Below are 24,037 nucleotides of genomic sequence, written 5' to 3' on the forward strand. Positions count from 1 at the left end.
GTGGATATATTACAAATATACATTATGTACATTCATGTATATTTAATAAATACAACGTTGAAAGGACCAATTTTTTAAAGGCATTTTAAAACTGCGTGAAAATTGCTAGTTTGCAAAAAATATCTGAGTTTCACATACAGGACAAAACTAGAATAAATAGCAGTCGTATTAATGCATTTTTTCTAACCCCCTTTTAAACTATTACTAATTGGTACAATACAATACATTATATCAGTAAATTAAAAACAGAACATCATACACATCTCCAATGTATTGAACCAAAAGAGTCATTCTGTCTTGTGAAATAGTAGAGCAGGAATAAATGTAACACACCTTGCTCCTACAGAGGAAAATAGAGGAATTATTTCTACAGTAAGTCTGGAATTACTGTTTAAGTAAAATTTGGTTTAGAAAATATTCCCAATTTCAATCATTTGAAATATGTTTAAAATGAACAACTATGAACCAGAAGAAAATCTATAATTAACTTATAAAACATATTCACAGAAAAAATACAAACTTTTTTTTCTAAATCTAGTAGATAACTTGGCAAAAGCATGTAAGGAAAAGTTTGGATGATGCACTATTTACTTCATTACTATTCATATCTGGGTCAGTAAAAAGTGGAGTAACATATTAAGTGCATAAATTTAAGATTATTTTAGAAAACCGTTTACATGTAATCTATTATGCATTGTGCCAGTCCTGACAATCCATTCATTTTGATATGTAACAAAATAAATAATAGAGAGAAATATGTTTACATCAGAGTCTCACACATTAATATAAATAGTTTGAAGACATCCTGGAAAGTGAAGACTTTCAAAATTAACTCAGTTTTTGAGATGACTACTTTTCTGTTCTTTGGTTAGCTAACAAAGTATAGTAGTTCTAAACGCATTTACAAGCATTATTTCTAGAATATTATTGATATCTTACTAAAATGTTTTTAGGATAACATTGCTTAATCAATTCTCTTATGTATGATAAAGTGTCTGATGAAAATAAATAGAAATAATAATGACATAGATCTTTATCAAAACCAAAATTACTTCCTGCTATTAAAAACAATTATTCGAGAGTCAAGTTTAAGATAATAACCTCATTACTGTAGTACTTGTGGTTAATAAAAAGGCATTTAGTGAGTATTACTAAAATGGCATGTTTAAAGAGGAATAATTTATATCATGGAAATATAAACTAGCTTTGGCTGAATAATTAAATAAATGTCTTCACAATTGAGTACTACCTCTGCCAAAATCAGATGAGTAAAAAATAGTTTACACATGTAGTACTTGCATTAAAAAGAAATTGGTATTTTTAACAACATAGAAAATTGTTACCTAATGATATCCAATGCAGATTATTTGTAACAGAGAGTGTGCAATATACATTTAAAAAATTTTTCTTTTTTTAAAACTTTCTATGGGTACATAATTGGTGTATATATTTATGGGGTACATGAGATGTTTTGATACAGGCATGCAAAACGAAATAAGCACATCATGAAGAATGGGTTATCTATCCCCTCAAGCATTTATTCTTTGAGTTACAAACAGTCCAATTACCTTCTGTAACTTATTTTAAAATATATAGTTAAATTACTATTGACTATAGTCACTTCCTTGTGCTATCAAATAGTAGGTCTTGTTCATTCTTTCTAATTTTTTTCTCGTACTCCTTAACCATTCCTACCTCCCTCTCAAACCCCCAGTACCCTTCTGAGCCTTTGGTAACCATCCTTCTACTCTCTATGATTACGAGTTGAATTGATTTGATTTTTATATCTCACAAATAAATGAGAACATGTGATGTTTGTGTTTCTGTGCCTCGCTTATTTCACAAAACAAAATGATCTCCAGTTCCATCCATGTTGTTAAAAATGACTGGATCTCATTCTTTTTATGGTTGAATAGTACTCCACATTAAATTAAATATGAACTAAGATTAAAAGTTAATCTAAGGTTTGCAACTTAAATATTTAAGATTAATTATATGTTAATTAATTAATATATTAATAATTATATTACTTAATAATTAAATGTTAATTAATTAATAGTTCAGATTAATTATAATGTTAATCTTGTTAATGTACCTTCTAAACATCAGGCACCAATAAATTTCATTTAAGCATTTAAAAATATTTTAGAATAGTATACCAAAATGATGATAAGATATATCACAAATTTTATTGCTGGCCATGCATGGTAGCTCACACCTGTAATCCCAGCACTTTTGGAGGCCAAGGTGGGAGGATCACGTGAGGCCAGGAGTTCGAGACCAGCCTGGGCAACACAGTGAGACTCCATCTCTTCAAAAATGGAAGAAAGAAAGAAGAAAGAAAGTAAGAAAGAGATAAAGAGAGAAAAAGAAAGAGAGAGCAAGAGAAAGAAAATTAGCCAGGCATGGTGGAGCACACCTGTGGTCCCAGCTACTTACTAGACTGAGGCTGCAGGATCGATCATGTGAGCCCAGGAGGCCGAGGCTGCAGTGAGCTGTGATCACACCCCTGCAATCCAGCCTCGGGGACAGAGTGAGACCTTGTCTGAAAAAAAAGAAAATAAAAAGAATATTACTTCCACTTATTTAACAATTATTTATTAAGCACACACTTTGTTTAAACACTATGCAAGACATGGAGGATATATCAACTACTTTTAAAAAGAACATTACACAAAGGTGAAAAAAGGAACATGCAGCAATGGTATCTGATCAGATTTGAAGGTAATGAATGATTGCCCTTAGCAAAAGCATTTGAATTAAGATTTTAAAAATACGTAAGAATTAAATAAGCAAGGAATCTCTCCAAAATGGAGCATTTCTGATAATTTGTATGAAGGCAAAATGAAACACATTTATTAAAGAACTTGATAAAAATAAAATTGGCTGGAATTCAAATAATAAAATAGAACATTAGAAGACAAGAACATAAATGATACAGGTTATGCAGGACTTAAATTTAAAATCATTAAATTTTAAAATTTAAAATTATTTTAAATTTTTATTTTAAATTTATTAATTATTAAAATTATTAAATGGTTTAATAATTTTTAAGAGAAAAGATTAATTATGAAAGGTTTTAAGTAGTAAGTTGATGTGATCAGATTTATGTTTTGAGAAGACAATTTTGTTTCGTTATCAGAGTAAGATTTAAAGGGTTAAAATTTTGACATAAAGGAGACCATTTACTATTTTGGCAAACTAGATTAAAATAGTGGCTGTGGAACTATGAAAAAGTAGTGAATTAATTTGAAAATTATTTAGAAGATAAATTAACAAGAGTTCATGGGTAATTGATTATGGAAAAAAACAAAGAAACGAGGTATCGGGTGTATGTCACTGCGTGGATGCTAGTGGTATCTATAGAAATAGAGCTCTCTGAAGGAGAAACGTTGGGGAAAGATTGGAGACTGAGTTCATTTTGAATACGTCAAATGTGCCAAGCCTTTTAGATATCCAAGTGAACATGCCACATAGGTGTTGCACATAAATAAGCTTGTGAAGCAGAACTGCACTAGGATATAAATCCATGAGTGATTGGTAAGTAAATGGAAACTAAAGATAAGAGTGAGGCTTAAAAGACCTAGAGAAATTCATCAAAGAACAGAATTTGAATCCCATTCACCCTGATCTTAAACATGTAAAGGCTACATAGAAAAATACCACCCAACAGAATCTGAGAAAATGTAGCCAGGGACCTAAGAGTTGAACCAGGAGTATATGTGTGGCAGGGAGGGGGTTGAGGAACAGATGAAACATAGGTATTTGTCAAGGAAATCTAGGGAAGATAATTATTTAAATCTCCATTTTAAAATTATCTTTACATAAATTCTGTTTTTGTGTGTGTGTGTTTCCTTATTTATATGGAAAGATAGGTCTTAGAAACAGGAGCTAATCAACACTTTGAATAATTTTGAAGTCAAATAAATGAATACTGTCTTACATCTCTTGATTTTTAGTAACTTAGAGCTTATTTAGGTTATTCCTGAGAGTTGTATGGAAATATGTGTTAAGTATATTATCTGCTTTGGCGTTTGCTTATAATGGAAATTCTGTGTGTCAGATCTAAAGGGAATGCTGAATCATACTTCAAGGGAACATTTGTTACACAGATTCTCGCCTCTCCTGTACTGCTTAAACTAAACAGGCAGAGCAAAGCCACATTGTGCGTTCCTCTTTTCTCACAGCTGCCTGCCACTATGTAATTTACCTTAGTGAAGCAGATCCTGGTGGTGACCTTCCATTTCCCTTTGGCACATACTATTTTTGTGTACTGACAAGGGCAAAAGTGCCTAGGAAATAACACCTCCTCACCAACCTCCTCCACCCCCACCCTCAGGAGCAGTCCTCAACCAAAGAGGATAACTAATAAATAAATATTCCATCAATAGTCCTGTGTCTTGCCCATCAAGTAAGGTAACTCAGAGTCATGTCCTCCACTCACTCTCGGTTCCACAGTGGAATTGAATTCAATTTGCTTTGCTCATAGTGTAATCTGCTCAATAACACAGGCTTCATTTACTTCCTTCCCTTCCTGTCTCACTTCTCAAGGCTTCCTGAGATTACCACCTGGCACATTCCCCGCTCAATAAAAGACAGCCTCAGGGTCTCTTTGTTAGGATATTGGACACCATGTTAGGGTTCTCCGGAGACATGGAGCCAATAGGCTGTACATACATATAAAAGGAGATTTATTGTGAGGAATTGTCCATGTGATTATGGAGGTGAAATCCCAAGATATGCAAAGTGAGTCAGCGAGCTGGAAGACCAAGAGTACCAATGGTTTAGTTCCACTCTGAGTCTAATGGCCTGAGAACGAAGAGAATTGATGATATAGTTCCAGTCCAAAGGTCTCAGGATCCAGACCCAGAAAGACCCAAGGTTTCCATTCTATTCTAAAGGCAGGAAAAAAGTCAACATTGCAGTTCAAACGACATCAGGCAGGAAGATTTATTTTCTACTTGGAGGAGGAGCAGCCTTTTAATTTTATTTAGTCTTTCAAGAGATTGGATGAGGCCCTTTCATATCATGGAATGCCATCTGCTCTACTCAGTCTACCAACTTTAATGTTAATCTCCTCCAAAAAACATCCTCGCATTAACACTCAGAATAATGTTTGGTCAAATAGCTGGACTCCCCAAGGCACAGTCAAACTGACACACAAAATTAAACATCACAGACACCCATGTTAACATAATTCTGTCTCCCAAAATTATACATTTCTGATCTTTCACCTCAAACTTTTTCCATGAAAACTAAACTCTTCTTTATAATATGTCATGGGGAAAATAAATGTTGCTATATGTATGTTTAGTTAGAGGTCAAAAGACCATAGGCCTCAGTTTGACCAGAACAGTCTGGTTCACAACTGTCATCTTCATAATTATTAATATTTTCTCTTTTTCTTTTAAAAATGTCCTGCTCTGGAGATGAAATTATATGGTTATCCTAGTCAATAACTGATTCCATAGATGTGCTGATAATGGAAAAAATTAATAAAGTATGTTTAAATCTGATATTCAATTTTTTTCTTCTATCAGTTAAAAAAGTATGATGAATGTGTATCATATTTTTTCAGATTAATTTTTCTTCCTAAGTCATTTTACACCACAAGTATTTACTGTGATGTATTTTGAATGTTTATTTGCAACCAGAATGTTATTTTTAATTGTCTTCAATGCATTCTCTTGTTTAAGGAATTAAAGGAGAATGCATTTGAAAAGCATACATAATTTTAAAGTATGATATAAACTATTACATTTTATTTTATACTTTATTATTCTATATAGGAGAAATCTAAATAATATTTTCCTTAGATAAGGTAACTCACCTGAAAATTACACAATCGGTAGTAACTCATTTAACTGGCTCTAAAATCAAAGAATGTATATAATAACAGTGCAGATCAGTCCTTCTGTTACAGCTAAGAAGGGAAGAGTGAGAATAATTGTGATCTTCTGGAGAGTTCAGAGCCTATTTTGTTTATTGTAGAGAATGTGAAGATAAGAGGAGAAGACAATTTCACATTGACTGTGGGCCAGACAATGCCAGGACTAGCAAAGCCTCATAAAGAAAGAATGTGTTAATATCGTCTCTTTTTTGAGCTTATTTTCCATTTTTTCTATGAAATATGTTACCTTTGTGTTGATTAAGGAATATTGTATGTCATTCAAGTTATACATATAAATGTCTTGAAGTATTCTTTAATTCTCACTAGGGATGATTTATTGTTAAATGGAAATAAATAATTTTCTAACAAACATGCAGTAGCACATATAACAAATGTTAACTTTTAATAAAATCATAAATGCTATTGGAAGTGACTCACTAACTGTACTTCTGTACTTCAGAGCAAGCGGCATGTGCCCAGTGCTGCATCATTGCATTTTGAAAAGATTCTGCATAATACTTGTGAGACAGTAATTGAGCTTGAGTTCATTGTGGGTTCCTTATTGTGAGTCCCTGGTATTCCTGTAACAATGAAAGTGTTGTTATTCAGATGCACATAAATGCATTCAGCCCATAATAATAGTATTCATAGCCATCTATAAATAGTTTAAGAAACAATTGTATGAAATGCTTGATATTCATCTCAACCACATTTTGCAATTTCTCTTTTAAATTCAGATTTCAGAAATAATACAACAGTGGTGCTCAGGAGATATTTAGATATTTTTGTTAGCTTTGCATGGACAGGTTGTTAGCTTTTTAAATCACACACCTTATTTTACCAAATCTAAGAAATCCTTTATAAATATACACAATTATAAATAATATATAAGAAATGCTGAACACACAGCATGATGCACAGTTATTAAATATCTAGTTTTGTATGTGTTTAATTACCTTTCTTAATATTCTTTTATTTCTAGATACACCATCAGTTAAGATTATACCATCGACTCCTTTTCCACAAGAAGGACAGCCTTTAATTTTGACTTGTGAATCCAAAGGAAAACCACTGTAAGTGAGTTAATGAGCAATAAAGCTTTTAACTTTTTTTCTTTTATCTTGCTTTGATTACAGCCTTTAACTGTAGAAATCCACAGTTTGTGTCTTTTCTTGGTGGGCAAAGTGATCTCTAGAACAGAAAACCTCATGAACCATGTCTTCATTAAGGTCTATGGAAGATTGGTTTTTACTTTGTCATCTAGTGAAGTTTCTGGGAAGATTTCCAGCTGTTATTTCTTTTTGTATTTTTTCCAGTAAGATATTTTAACCTGAATGGAGTATATCAGTCACTGTTCATATCATCAGAGTATAAAAGCAGCACACCGTTGAATTCAGTTCTCCCATGAAAAACTTAGAAAATATTGAAGCATCCCCAAAATACGCCCAAGTTTTAAAGTTACAAGAAGACTCATTTTCATAAAAGGAAAATCGAATCTATATTTCTTATGAAACACCCAATGAAACAAGTAATGGGTCACAAACTCAATGTGTTTAATTGTAAAGTAATTTCAATATTAGAATATATGCACGTCAATGTGATAATGTCACTTCAACTCTAAAACTTCACCTTTTGAAATTTGTGTTTATAAATAGCTAGTCAAGGAATACCAATTATTAAGCAAAACTTACATATGGATATTTAATTATGGATTATTTAAATTCTATTTGAAAGCAATATGATCATTCTAATACAGGAACACTCTAGGCCTAGCTTTATGTAATTTACTTGATTTGTTAAAAGATTCCAATTTATTTTAATTCTGTTTAAATTTTAATAGAAGGAATTAAATTGTTCTTTGTATATAACTATATGAGATTGCTTCTGGCAAATCAGGTTAAATTGCTAAAAATTTGTCTCCAATAACATTTATATTATTTAAGTTTCATACTATCCCATGGAGAATGTTTCTAAAAGAATTGTAAGATAGATGCCTGGCACTTTAACTTCATAAATTGTATGTCATTATATTTTTTACCATATTAATAAATCCATGCCTTATTTACCACAGTTTTGATATTTTTAAACTGTTCTCTCTTCTAGTAATTATTTTAAAGAGATTGTTTTTGGTCTTCTTTCCTTCAGATTTATCCAAAAGTACATTTGTATACATTTGGATTATGTGCACAATTTATGCAATTAAACAAGGTGAAGTTAGGGAATATGCTTTATAGAATGCTTGAAAATAAATGAATGCCTGCTCAAGTAGCATCCAATTGTCTTACAACGATTCTTTGATTCCATATCTACTTCCAACAGTAGAAACATTATTTTACTTATGGAAATTATTAGACTTTATGTTTTATATAATTAAATATTTAAGTAGTTCATATAACTCATCTAAGATATGGTTGAATGAATGTGCCTTCTTTTAATCTCTTTTCAGTTACCTAGAAATAATCTTGGATGTGTAATAATCCTCTGCACTGCAGATGAATGAAAAGCACAATAATTTCTTATTTATTTTATTTAAGAATACAAATTTCAAGAGATTTATGAAATGCAAAATATTACCTTTCTCAGAAGGATCCTGATTACTATCATTTTGCAAATAGATAAAGGAAATAAGAAAGGCTCCCTATTTTACGGAAGAGAAACTAAGGCTCAAAACTTTTCACTAAATTTTCCTATTTATCCAGATTTAAAATGAGTGAGAATTTGAATTCAGTTCAGTCTTGCCCAAAGCCTTAACTCTTTCTATTATGTGCTGCTACTTCAATTGCTAAATGTAAATTTCCACTTATTCTAGCTAAAGTTACTTTTGAAAAACTAGAATAGGACTGACAATAATTTTCATCACTGAAGTTGAAGCCCTAGATGCTTTAGGGCAGTGAACTGGCTAGTCTCATGATATGTTTCACTGTTGCCATCCTCCTTTATTAGGCTTTCTTCTATATTTATATTATTTCTGGAAACTTGTCAAATTTCTACCAAACTAGTCGTTTCTGGCATGAGTTCTTAACCATATAAAAATCTGTAATTTAATGTAGTGTGTTCTGGCAAATAACTCATGAGCTCCACAACGTCTTCAAAGTAAAGTAGTCATTATATGTTGCGTTTATCTTCATAAATCCCAGTGTTATATTCTGTATGCTATGGTCCACAAGTAAATATGTATTAACTGATTTCTTGTATTATATTCTCATTCACAACTTTCCCTTTATCATATTTCCTTGCAGACTGTCAGGACATTAGCATTAAAGTTAGAATCAACTTCTTTGATGCCTTTCTTCATTTGGACTATTGCTTCTTCTTCGTTCTTCTAATCATCTTAAATAAACTTCTCTATATTTTTACAGTAACTGTCTTCTCCATTAGATGAAGGCATTAATCTCTTTAAAAACAGTCTAATTTTTAGCCTTTCTGTAGTTTATATACTATTTCCAACAGTGCCAGATGAGGCAGAAAGGACAAAAAACAAGACAAGACTGAAATAATTGGATTTTCCCAGAAGGAAATCTTACTGATCGTAAAGAAAAGTCTTACCAGAGTAAAAAGAACAGGATGCAAATTGAAACGGTTTAATCAGGGAGTTAGTAGGTAGTAGGGAAGTGAAGACAGCCACTAAAGGAAAGACTATCAACTTCAAAAAATGAATCAAAAAGTGGAAGAGGGATGAGAAAAAATTCTGTCAAACATATTTTAAAATAAAACATAATAATAGCAACACATATAATGGGGAGTCTTGCATATTTTAAGATAGCCATACAAGAGTGGGAGTGAAAATGAAATATGTGATATACTCAATCAGCAGGTTAGAATTCCCTGTTTTACTCAGGTAATCGTTGTCAAAGTTCTACTCCATTATTTTGCAACTATTGTACCTGTATCTTCATTTTGTTATTTAAGAACCACTGAGAAGCAATACTATAGCTTAGTATTAAGTAAGCTTAGTATATAAGCTTACTTAGTATACTTAATGTACTAAGTATAGCTTAGTATAAGTAAGCACTTAATTTTTATCATCTTTATCATTTATCTGATCCACTTCTCATTAACATGTGAAAATCAGGAATGAATAGTGGCTATATGATTTCTTTATATCTTGTAGCTGTCTTCAATAATACATTTAATCTGTGGTCAAAACTTCATTGTTTCTTAAAAAGTATTTAACTAGTACGTTTTGAAGAATGAGTTATTCAGAGTAATTAGGTATATTGGTAGTAGGCAAAATCACACCACTATCTTTTGTGTAAATCACAACATCATGGCATGGCTCAAGTTGCACTGAGCCTGGTGTTCCGAACCTGCCCTTCTTTATGCTAATGTTGTTTTCCTTGTTCTAAATGTGAGGGCCCCAGTGACTGTTTATGAACAATCATGCCTATTTGCCTGCTTTGGACTGAAGCCTTTTGCCATTTTCCTGTGAAACAGCTGCATAACTTGGGCCAGGACCAAATTGTTCCACTTGACACTACTATAGAAGCATTCTATTCTTTCCTTAAAAGAGAGATTACTGTACATGTCTGTCCATTGTTTTAATTTTAGTTTAAAGTGAGGACCGAGCTAATGCCAGCCACTTTTCTTTCAAGTCCCCAGAGTTTTTGCAACCCTCTTCTTTCTTTGGCTGAATTCCCAGACAGCTTTCAGGCAGCAGCATTCTCCATTTTAAAAGTAAACGAAAACACACACACACACACACACACACACACACACACAACATGAAACCTTTATATTACATTAAAGTCATGACCTTAAATGGTGTGAGGTTGCCCCCAACACGCTGTAAATAATGAGTCATCATTCATTTTAATCGAATGTGTAAGGCTGTTTAAATTCACCTCCAAAAAAGTGATGCGACATTTTCAGTGAGATAAATATGTATTTGGCATCTATTCTGTAAAAGAAAATAATTATAGGTATTGATAAGTTTTTCTATGTATCCAGCACAATGTTTATGCTGTACTTACTATTTTACTTTCTGGTAACCACAATTTTTCTTTTGTTCTTGCCATAAATCTAGTATGCATAATTGCACAGCACATAACATTCCAATTCTATAAAAGAAGAAAGAATTTAATCTTTAGGAAGACAGATCACATACTATATAGCAACTAGTGAGGTGTTTTAGAGAAATAATTACACATCTATTTTTGAAATGATCAGGAATTAAAGAACTCTGATATGTATATATTAATGTATTTTTCTATTAGGATAATAGAGAATTTTTAACAACAACAAAAAAAAAACAGACAAAAGCCTGGGTGCTCACACCTGTAATCCCAGCACTTTGGGAGATGGAGGCAGGAGGATCATCTGAGGTCAGGAGTTCAAGACCAGCCTGGGCAATATGGTGAAACCCCATCTCTACTAAAAATACAAAAAAAAAAAAAAAAAAAAAAAAAATAGCCGGGCGTGGTGGTGGGCGCCTGTAATCCCAGCTACTGGGGAGGTTGAGCAAGGAGAATTGCTTGAACCTGGGAGGTGGAAGTTGCAGTGAGCCGAGATCACGCCATTGAACTCCAGACTGGGCAACAAGAGCAAAACTCCATCCAAAAAAAATTACAGCAAAACAGTTTTATATAAAGTCAATTTTCTTAGCCTAACATGTACCTTTTTACAAATCACAGGTTATTTGCTAATCATTATACAGTGCAATTACCATCAGACGAAATGACAAAATAAACTACGAATCAAAGAAAGCAAGTTATCATCTAGAGTGAAATATTGTTTACCAAAATAAGATAAAATATGTACTTTAAAATAATATTAATCTATAATAGCAATGTTAAATTATTTGGCCTAATATATAGCAGTTGTTATTACAGAATATTTACCGCTCTCCTGCTATATAGAAAACCTCTAATTAATCATTGAGATCTGTATGTTATTTTCAAATAGGATGCCTAAGGTGTCATACTTTGAGGCACAAAATGTTTGGAGGTATTGTAGAAAGAGAATGCAGACCTGGGTTTAAATTATAAATCTGCGGATATTAGTGGCCTGAGTAATCCTGAGCAAATCACTTAACCACACTGAGTATTTTTTTTCCTTTTTTTAAATTGATGAACTTTATTTTTAGAGCAGTTTTAGGTTCACAGCAAAATTGAGTGGAAAGTACAAAGATTTCTCCTATACCCCCGTCCTCACCCACTGATAGCCTTCCTCAGTATTGACATGCTATACCAAAATGTTACATTTGTTGTAATCAATGTACCTACACTGACCCATCATTACGACACCAAAGTCCAATGTTTACATTAGGGTTCACTCTTACACATCAAGTAGTTTTATCTCTAAAATGAAGAACACAAAATTTATCAAACAGATTGTTTTAATAATGACAGTGTATATGAAATGTCGGCCTCCAAGTAATTGTATAATACATCATAACAATGAGGGTGATAAATTATTACTTGATCAAGGAAATACATACAGTGTATCTCAGCAAGTTTCCAACTCAGAAGTCTTACTTATATATTTAATACACATGCTAATATTAGGCTATTATGGCAACTCTGACAACTGAGTTATCATCTCACATATATTCTCAGGCAATGGAATCCAAGATTTCAAGCAAAATAAACACATTTCAGGACAGTGGGTCTGTATTTTCAAAAACATATTTAAACAGCAAAGGAATCCAGACCGAAGTCATGGCAAAACTGATACAGCAACTTCGATATTTTATTTGAAGTTAAATAATAATAGTTATAAATTAGAGAGAAGAGAGGCAGTGTCATGAACCTCAGTTGGGGTAAAATCCAAAATAGTTAAAACGAGACACTGGAAAATCCTGAGCCACAGGAAAAGCCCCTTCTCTAATTTACCTTAATTTAAGGTAGGACAAGTTTAGATCAATTTGCAAGGAACAGAAGGAATTAAGATTGAGTTTTAGTTTGATGCGTGTGGGAAAAGCTACACTCTGAAGCAGTTTTATTGAGTGAAAGGGACTAAGTAGTTAGCAAGTTTTGACAAAGAACAAATGCAGATCTGGAAGGCCTTAAAGAACCCAAACTAAGTAGATGGCTTGGCTCAGGAGTGGTGAGGAATCCAGGGTCAGTGATACATAAGACCTTGTTTTGGCATAGTTTTTCATAATTTTCTCTCATGCATAAATGTTTAATTTAAATCACACAACTATTACATTGTAAAAGGTTTACAAAGACTGCTGTAATCGTTTCAATTTTTTAGGTGAAGAAAAATAAGTCTTGTTCAAGTTATATGATCTTTCCCAGTAACACAGCTGATAAATGGTAGAATTGGGATTACAAACAAGTTTCCCTTTTGTATTAACAACAATGATGATTGTATTTTTTTGTTTACCCAGTGTTTTTTAGCATTGATGTTTTTCACAATAACTCAATAAAGTTGGCAAACATTGAAGAGTTCTAAAAAATTGCTAGGACAGCCCATATTTCAATCAAATAGTTGTTAAAAAAAATACCACCAGGCCTGCCCTACAAGAGCTCCTGAAGGAAGCACTAAACATGGACAAGAACAACTGGTACCAGCCACTGCAAAACCATGCCAAATTGTTTTTTTTTGTTTGTTTGTTTTTTATTATACCTTAAGTTCTAGGGTACATGTGCATATTGTGCAGGTTAGTTACATATATATAAATGTGCCATGCTGGTGCGCTGCACCCACTAACTTGTCATCTAGCATTAGGTATATCTCCCAGTGCTATCCCTCCCCCCTCCCCCCACCCCACAACAGTCCCCAGAGTGTGATATTCCCCTTCCTGTGTCCATGTGATCTCATTGTTCAATTCCCACCTATGAGTGAGAATATGCGGTGTATGTTTTTTTGTTCTTGCGATAGTTTACTGAGAATGATGATTTCCAGTTTCATCCATGTCCCTACAAAGGACATGAACTCATCATTTTTTATGGCTGCATAGTATTCCATGGTGTATATGTGCCACATTTTCTTAATCCAGTCTATCATTGTTGGACATTTGGGTTGGTTCCAAGTCTTTGCTATTGTGAATAATGTCGCAGTAAACATACGTGTGCATGTGTCTTTATAGCAGCATAATTTATAGTCCTTTGGGTATATACCCAGTAATGGGATGGCTGGGTCAAATGGTATTTCCAGTTCTAGATCCCTGAGGAATCGCCACACCGACTTCCACAATGGTTGAACTAGTTCACAGTCCCACCAACAGTGTAAAAGTGTTCCTATTTCTTCACATCCTCTCCAGCACCTGTTGTTTCCTGACTTTTTAATGATTCCCATTCTAACTGGTGTGAGATGGTATCTCATTGTAGTTTTGATTTGCATTTCTCTGATGGCCAGTGAAGATGAACATTTTTTCATGTGTTTTTTGGCTGCATAAATGTCTTCTTTTGAGAAGTGTCTGTTCATGTCCTTCACCCACTTTTTGATGGGGTTGTTTGTTTTTTTCTTGTAAATTTGTTTGAGTTCATTGTAGATTCTGGATATTAGCCCTTTGTCAGATGAGTAGGTTGCAAAAATTTTCTCCCATTTTGTAGGTTGCCTGTTCAGTCTGATGGTAGTTTCTTTTGCTGTGCAGAAGGTCTTTAGTTTAATTAGATCCCATTTGTCAATTTTGGCTTTTGTTGCCATTGCTTTTGGTGTTTTAGACATGAAGTCCTTGCCCATGCCTATGTCCTGAATGGTAAAGCCTAGGTTTTCTTCTAGGGTTTTTATGGTTTTAGGTCTAACGTTTAAGTCTTTAATCCATCTTGAATTGATTTTTGTATAAGGTGTAAGGAAGGGATCCAGTTTCAGCTTTCTACATATGGCTAGCCAGTTTTCCCAGCACCATTTATTAAATAGAGTCAATCCTAAGACAAAAGAACAAAGCTGGAGGCATCACGCTACCTGACTTCAAACTATACTACAAGGCTACAGTACCCAAAACAGCATGGTACTGGTACCAAAACAGAGATATAGATCAATGGAACCAAACAGAGCCCTCAGAAATAACGCCGCATATCTACAACTATCTGATCTTTGACAAACCTGAGAAAAACAAGCAATGGGGAAAGGATTCCCTATTTAACCATGCCAAATTGTAAAGACCATTGATGCTAAGTAGAAACTGCATCAACTAACGAGCAAAATAACCAGCTAACATCAAAATGACAGGATCAAATTCACACATAACAATATTAACCTTAAATGCAAATGGGCTAAATGCTCTAATTAAAATACACACACTGGCAAATTGGATAAACAGTCAAGACCTATCAGTGTGCTGTATTCAGGAAACCCATCTCACCTATAGAGACACACATAGGCTCAAAATAAAGGGATGGAGGAAGATCTACCAAGCAAATGAAAAACGAAAAATGGCAGGGTTGCAATCTTAGTCTCTGATAAAACAGACTTTAAACCAACAAAGATCAAAAGAGACAAAAAAGGCCGTTACGTAATGGTAAAGGGATCAATTCGACAACAAGAGCGAACTATCCTAAATATATATGCGCCCAATACAGGAGCACCCAGATTCATAAAGCAAATCCTTAGAGACCTGCAAAGAGACTTAGACTCCCACACAATAATAATGGGAGGCTTTAACACCCCACTGTCAACATTAGACAGATCAACGAAACAGAAAGTTAACAGGGATATCCAGGAATTGAATTCAGCTCTGCACCAAGGAGACCTAATAGAAATCTACAGAACTCTCCACTCCAAATCAACAGAATATATATTCTTTTCAGCACCACAGCACACCTATTCCAAAATTGACCACAGAGTTGGAAGTAAAGCACTCCTCAGCAAATGTAAAATAATAGAAATTATAACAAACTGTCTGTCAGACCACAGTGCAGTCAAACTAGAACTCAGGATTAAGAAACTCACTCAAAACTGCTCAACTACATGGAAACTGAACAAACAACCTGCTCCTGAATGACTACTGGGTACATAATGAAATGAAGGCAGAAATAAAGATGTTCTTTGAAACCAACGAGAACAAAGACACAACATACCAGAATATCTGGGACACATTTAAAACATGTGTGTAGAGGGAAATTTATAGCACTAAAGGCCCACAAGACAAAGTAGGAAAGATCTAAAATTGACACCCTAATATCACAATTAAAAGAACTAGAGAAGCAAGAGCAAACACATTCAAAAGCTAGCAGAAGGCAAGAAATAACTAAGATCAGAGCAGAACTGAAGGAAATAGAGACACAAAAAACCCTTCAAAAAATCGGTGAATCCAGGAGCTGGTTTTTTCAAGAGATCAACAAAATAAATAGACCGCTAGCAAGACTAATAAAGAAGAAAAGTGAGAAGAATCAAATAGATGCAATAAAAAATGATAAAGGGGATATCACCACCGATCCCACAGAAATACAAACTACCATCAGAGAATTCTATAAACACCTCTACGCAAATAAATTAGAAAATCTAGAAGAAATGGATAAATTCCTCGACACATACACCCTCCCAAGACTAAACCAGGAAGAAGTTGAATCTCTGAATAGACCAATAACAGGCTCTGAAATTGAGGCAATAATTAAGAGCTTACCAACAAAAAAAAGTCCCAGACCAGACGGTTTCACAGCCGAATTCTACCAGAGGTACAAGGAGGAGCTGGTACTATTCCTTCTGAAACTATTCCAATCAATAGAAAAAGAGGGAATCCTCCCCAACTCGTTTTATGAGGCCAGCATCATCCTGATACCAAAGCCGGGCAGAGACATAACCAAAAAAGAGAATTTTAGACCCATATCCCTGATGAAAATCAATGCAAAAATCCTCAATAAAATACTGGCAAACCAAATCCAGCAGCACAACAAAAAGCTTATCTACCATGATCAAGTGGGCTTCATCCCTGGGATGCAAGACTGGTTCAACATATGAAAATCAGTAAATGTAATCCAGCATATAAACAGAACCAAAGACAAAAACCACGTGATTATCTCAATAGATGCAGAAAAGGCCTTTGATAAAATTCAACAGCCCTTCATGCTAAAAACTCTCAATAAATTAGGTATTGATGGGACGTATCTCAAAATAATAAGAGCTATTTATGACAAAACCACAGCCAATATCATACTGAATGGGCAAAAACTGGAAGCATTCCCTTTGAAAACTGGCACAAGACAGGGATGCCCTCTCTCACCACTCCTATTCAACATAGTGTTGGAAGTTCTGGCCAGGGCAATCAGGCAGGAGAAAGAAATAAAGGGTATTCAGTTAGGAAAAGAGGAAGTCAAATTGTCCCTGTTTGCAGACGACATGATTGTATATCTAGAAAACCCCATCATCTGAGCCCAAAATCTCTTTAAGCTGATAAGCAACTTCAGCAAAGTCTCAGGATACAAAATCAATGTACAAAAATCACAAGCATTCTTATATACCAATAACAGACAAACAGAGAGCCAAATCATGAGTGAACTCCCATTCACAATTGCTTCAAAAAGAATAAAATACCTAGGAATCCAACTTACAAGGGATGTGAAGGACCTCTTCAAGGAGAACTACAAACCACTGCTCAACTAAATAAAAGAGGACACAATCAAATGGAGGAACATTCCATGCTCATAAACAGGAAGAATCAATATGGTGAAAATGGCCATACTGCCCAAGGTAATTTATAGATTCAATGCCATCCCCATCAAGCTACCAATGACTTTCTTCACAGAATTGGAAAAAACTACTTTAAAGTTCATATGGAACCAAAAAAGAGCCCGCATCGCCAAGTCAAGCCAAAAGAACAAGGCTGGAGGCATCATGCTACTTGACTTCAAACTATACTACAAAGCTACAGTAACCAAAACAGCATGGTACTGGTACCAAAACAGCATGGTACTGGTACCAAAACAGAGATATAGACCAATGGAACAGAACAGAGCCCTCAGAGATAATACCTCACATCTACAACTATCTGATCTTTGACAAACCTGACAAAAACAAGCAATGGGGAAAGGATTCCCTATTTAACAAATAGTGCTGGGAAAACTGGCTAGCCATATGTAGAAAGCTGAAATTGGATCCCTTCCTTACACCTTATACAAAAATCAATTCAAGATGGATTAAAGACTTAAACGTTAGACCTAAAACCATAAAAACCCTAGAAGAAAACCTAGGCAATACCATTCAGGACATAGGCACATGCCAGGACTTCATGTCTAAAACACCAAAAGCAATAGCAGCAAAAGCCAAAATTGATAAATGAGATATAATTAAACTAAAGAGCTTCTGCACAGCAAAAGAAACTACCATCAGAGTGAACAGGCTACCTAAAGAATGGGAGAAAATTTTTGCAATCTACTCATCTGGCAAATGGCTAATATCCAGAATCTACAATGAACTCAAACAAATTTACAAGAAAAAACAAACAACCCCATCAACAAGTGGACGAAGGATATGAACAGACACTTCTCAAAAGAAGACATTTATGCAGCCAAAAGACACATGAAAAAATGCTCATCATCACTGGCCATCAGAAAAATGCAAATCAAGAGTATGTCTTTCTTATTAAATGCTATGTATAAAATGTTACTAAAATAACTAGTGGGATAAACATAATGATTGTCTCCTTATCATATAGATATTCTTATACCAGCAGTACTTCGATAATAAAGGATACAGAGCATTTAGATTGGGATGTGTATGTGTGTGTGTGTCTGTGTGTGTGTTGTACTTTGTGTTCTGATATATAGAGAAATGCAAAATTGTCTCAATTAACTAATTAAAAATTAAAAGCAATATAGTCAGTTTCTTCCAAAATGTCTTCAAAGATATAATATTGGAAAATTCATTCTAAATTTTCAAAATTGAAAAAAAAAATGTGTGCAGTCCTTTCCATAATGAGTTTCTTTTCTGAGGTCCATATGGTTGGTCTTTTGCTTCTATTTTATGGTTTCAAAATTTAATCACACATTGACTCGCTGGAAACACACAAGTGATTATCTTGGAAATGAGACCGAATATATTTGGTTTTGTTTTTGAAACAAGAAGCTGACTCTCGGTAATCTCCACTGCTGTTATTTAGGCTGGGCATGGGCATCTGCGGTGTGTTGGGCACTCAATCATTTTCAATTAAATGTTCCAATGTCTTGTGAAAGTCCCATAAGAGCTTGCAGAATCACGATTATAGATCCATAGAGGAAATGTACTTTTTGAACATTTCCAGGTAAGCAGTTTTCTTGCAACAAAAAGCCAATTATTTTGAGGGATTATGTAAATATTCACTGGAAAACCCTAAACCAAACATGTCTCAATACATTGAAGACACCATTTTGGAATGGTACTGTCATATACGTTTAGTAGATTTTTCAGACATGCACTCTTTTGCTTATAGATTTAAAATTTGTATTTTTAAAAATACATTAATTTTTGAGATTACATTTAAGCATTTTACTCTTTAAAGTTTGGAAACATTGCATATGTGTTTATATAGCAAATTCAACAACATAGTAATTGTAGAAAGTTTGCAGAAAAATGAATAATCACTCAACATTTTAAAAATTGAAATACTATGATTATTTATGTATTTTTAAAAGTTAGTCTATTGCTCTAAGGCTATTCAATAAGATTTGCACTTTTTTTTGCATTTTTTTCGTAACATGTATCATAAATTTGGAACTAATATCCCTCTAGTAGTCACCAGTACAACTTACTGATAAATGGATTATTGTCCACCTATTATACCAGCTGTTAAATATCTTGACTATCATTTCTGCATAAATATACAAAGGAAATAAAATGTGAAAAATAGATTTAATTCAGAATCACTTTAGAGATGTGCTATTATTTTAATTAATAATGAAACTTGAAAAATTCTTATTCCTTAGCCACTTACTCAAAAAAATACATCCTAAAAGAAATTTTCTTGCATTACACATCTTTTTTACACATGATTTTACAATATGTTTGTAACCTCAATCCAGGTATACAAAACTCAAACGTATAGAAGCTTCTAAATTTCAAAGCTAAATAAAATAATAAAATAAAATAAAATAAAATAAACAGCAAACAATGCCAGTGTTTAAAAGTATAGAAAATATGAACATTTACGAAAACCTCCAATGTGAATAGGCAGACTTTCTCAGTGATTGAGGAGGGCTCTAAAGCCCAAGTCTTGCAAATCCAGAGTACCACAAGTGCTTCAAGGAAAAGAGAAAGGAAAGTAAAAGATAAGACTTTATAAAGACGGATAATAGAGCAGCACCTATGATAACGTGGGGCCAGGAGATGTCATGGAAATGTGAGGCATGGTGGACTTAAGCACCACCACTCAAAATTGCAAGAATGAAGATAGTGATGCAACCATGCAGAAACAACATTGAAAATATAACAGCAATGAAGCTCAGGGACAAGAAAACTCCTAGGATACAGCACTCTCACTGTGAGTCACTAGTGCAGTGTTTTTCAAATTGCAAATTGTGGCTTATTAATGAGTTACAAAATCAATTTATATGACTTTTTTTTAAAAAGAAAATAATAGAAAAGGAAAATGTAGAAAAGAAGAAAGAGTAAAGAAAATGTCACAGAATATAAGAGAAAGCAAGCTATTATTTCTTGTATATATGTGTTTACATAGTATGTATGCTTGTCAAATATATTTTTTATTGTATGTCACACCTTAAAGGGTTTGAAAATTGTTACAATAAGCATATCAGCTATGAGAAAGCTGGGTATTGCAGAAATTTAGGGGAAAAAATATGTTAAGTCTTAGTTCCTGTGAAACAACACTATATAAAAATGTGTGTTCAAACTAAAGATATCTTAGCTCTAGAAAACAAGGTTGTCACCAAAACTCCTCTGTTTAATAACAGAGAAGTTTGATCCTTTGAGAATGATTACATCTAAATGATTTAAAAAATACCTTCAAAACTTTCAGTTTTAAGTTTCAATTATCTTCAAGCTTTACTTATTCAGAGCATTTAATTTTTCAGCTATCAGATAAATGCTATGGACTTTACTATTATTTTCTGAAGATCACTGGTTTTAATATTAGAAATGAAACAAATCATGAAGCAGAAGCAGTAGTATAATGATAACACAGTGTTTAATATCAATACTAGATCTTATAAGGTTAATGAGCACTATTTTATATTAAAGGAAGTAATGGGTTGTAAAATTACTCTTGTATAAAAAATAGGACCTCATCATTCCAAAGTGTCCTTGAATTGAATGGTTTATAGGCTTCTGATTGATTAGGATGCTTATAGAAACATTTTATATAGTGTCACATTGTTCTTATGATGTACGCAGGTTGATAAAATGGAAGATTCTGAGAAATGCACACTCATAATTTTTTCATTATGAAAACACGAAAATATTGCAAAGAGTTCTAAAATAAAATTTTAATAGTCAATAATTTTCAAATAAGTTGAAAACTTTTCTGAAGAATGGTTATTGTTAAATATATTATAAAGATTTTATGCTTAATGTACATATACACAGTAGATGAGAGAATGAATGCTTACTCAAGATATTTTGATCTTTTAACTGGGAATTAATATTCTGTGTTTACCAAAGAAAAGAAATTTAAGTATAGATTAGGCATGGGTAATTGTTTTGCTTCAGCAGAAAGTCCTTAAGAGATTAGCTTAGGCATTTGTCACAATCTTCAATATTTTTCTTTCAATGCAAAAATCTGTAACTCCTTCATGATCATAGCAATCTTATCTTTTCTAAGGATAATCTTTTATTTGTTGTGCCATAAATTGGCTGGAATTATACAGTTTCTAGTGCAATGTGACTGCTTTGTTTTTTGAAACTGTTAAAATAATCATCAATGAACACTACCTTATCAGTAAAAAGTAGTTCAGGATTTAATAGGCACTCTAAAAATGCCATTATTTTCAAGTCTTCTAAAGAGCACTTACCTCTTTCTTGCATAGGTTATTTCCTGTTTCAACCACAAGCTTCTAAGCTTGGAGGCAAGAAGTGCCTTAAAAAATCAGAATCAAGTAGCACATGCTGATATTAATCAGAATAGAAGTCCATTTTTTATTTGCTATCAAAGTTTAAAATCTACTGGTGAAATTAATATGCATGTTATTTTCCCCTGTAAAGCTAACCGATAATGTAATGAGACTCCTCCTACTTGACACTATACTAATGTCATAATTGATTTTAAAAACTTGTATAAGTAGATAAACTTAGAATCAGCGTTTCAATTTACAGTTTAAGGGAGTAAGTAGGCTTGAGTTTTCCACTTCAAACTTCATTTATTACTGCATGAAAATGTCTTTGACCCTGTCAGACAGAAGTACTGATAGTGATGTTTGAGTAGAAACTTTTGTTGTTGAGACTGGCAACAGGAGTCTTTGGGATTCTGAAACTATAAATAGAAGAAAAAAAGTCTATTGCTTTTGATAAAATCAATTGTGCAGATATGGGCAATGCCATCTCAATACTGAGCAAACTCTAACTCATGATAATTGTGAGGATGGAATAAGAAACTGAAGAACATATCCAGAAATATTTAAAACAAAAGAGTAGAGGCCAATGAGAAGAAAAGCTAAGGAACCACCTTGTTCTTTCTCACACACAAATGCACAAAGACACATTAAATTAATCAATACAAGTAACTGCAATAGGTGAAAAAACACAGTGGGAAATCTATAATTTAAAAGATAAGTTGTTTAAGAGTTTACTTCATCTGGGTAATTTATTCAATCCTCTCCTTCCATTTTCTCTGTACATTTATGCTTCTGTTTCAGTACCAAGTATCTGAAATGTTAAAACACAAATCCAATTTAACAAATGAGGGTACTAACTATATTAAGATGCAAAGTTTTTCAAACATGTCTATTTTCAATATTATGTTAAACAGCTCTGGGACGGAGAAATGTGTATGTCTAATCACACATTCTTAATGACATTAATGATAATACATTGTGCATATTTCAACAGATTGGAAAACAACAACAAAAAACCTCCAAGATACAGTAATGAAATTTACTTTGGCTTTAAAATTGCCTTTGTCCTTGCTCTTCATGTGCACACTTGCATGATGACTTCAAGGACAGTATTTAGTAAAACAAACATCATTTACCTTCTCCTTTTTCTTTAGCTTGCTTTGATGTTGTGCTAAAGGCACAGAGAAGATGGAAAAGTTGGGTTCATTAGAGCTGGGAATTAACTAGATAATAATGGATGGAGAAAGGGAAAAAACAAAACAAAACAAATCTGATTGACTGGATCCTAAGACTGGCTAAGGAGGGAAGTGAACGGGAGAGGGCCATTAAAGAATAAAGGAAAATAGTGGGCCCCTCAGTTAAGACTGGAGGTTTTGATGATATATAAGAAAGTAGCGAACTGAACAAATAGAAGTTTGTAATTAGAAAAAAAAATGAGACTTTTATGGAAGTAACAATGATGACAATGTGAAGTGTGTCATCATGGCGGAGGTGGAGCTAACAAAATAATTATTGGACAGGAGAAAATCAGAGAACTGAGAAGTCAAGGTATTAGTGGGATTATAAAGACAAACATTCAGGACAATAAATTTTGAAATAATTTTTTTCTTGCTCCAATGACACTATTCTCTTGATTTTTTTTCTTAGAATTCTTAGACTGTATTGCCTTTTCTTATTTTCTAAGTGAGTGTATTCTAAGATGTTCAATGATGTGCTCTTTTGTTTTCTTTCTTTAGCTTGGAAACATGGTTGGCACCTGTCTCTGTAAAAATTCCAGTTCTGCCCTCTTCCCTGATTTCTAATTATTTATTTAATTAATTGCTGGATCAAGATGTATTTCTTGGTTTTCTTGTAACACTTGAATTCAGCATGTTCAAAATGGAAATCATCAGTTTTTCCCTCTCGGCTTTATTTCAATCTCTTTTCTCTTTTGTTTAATTGCTTTGTTGGTTAGTCTTTAAATTGTTGTTTTTCTTTTTGGCACTACAGTTGCACCTGTTGTACAGACTAGAGGCTGTAAAGAGAGTTTCTTTTATCTCTTCCTTAACACCATACACTGCCTAGCTTCAGAAAAGTTGTATTTACTTTTTCAGGGCTCTTTTATTGTTTATTATGTGCTTTCCTTTATTATTTCTCTCCCTTATGTAGGAACTTGTTATCTGTCTTAAGAACTGTATATATGGCCTCTTTATTGGATTTTCCCCAGATGTTTCACATTAATTTTCTTAAAGGAAACTGATCAGGAATACTCACTTCTCAAAAATCAAAATAAGATAATTTCATT

At 33.3% G+C, this 24,037-nt stretch overlaps 1 protein-coding gene across 17 annotated transcripts in view; it reads left to right on the forward strand.

Moving 5' to 3' along the window:
* The window catches only part of CADM2 (cell adhesion molecule 2), a 1,115,441-nt gene that overhangs the window by 969,906 nt on the left and 121,498 nt on the right, over positions 1-24,037 (forward strand). For all 17 annotated transcript variants that reach the window (NM_001375961.1, NM_001375960.1, NM_001167675.2 and 14 more), the window contains one exon: positions 6,873-6,963. In NM_001375961.1, coding sequence (NP_001362890.1) covers positions 6,873-6,963 — 91 coding nt within the window. The remainder of the gene's footprint in view (positions 1-6,872; positions 6,964-24,037) is intronic.

The sequence above is a fragment of the Homo sapiens genome, chromosome 3, assembly GCF_000001405.40.
Source record: "Homo sapiens chromosome 3, GRCh38.p14 Primary Assembly".
In the NCBI taxonomy this organism is placed as follows: Eukaryota; Metazoa; Chordata; class Mammalia; order Primates; family Hominidae; genus Homo; species Homo sapiens.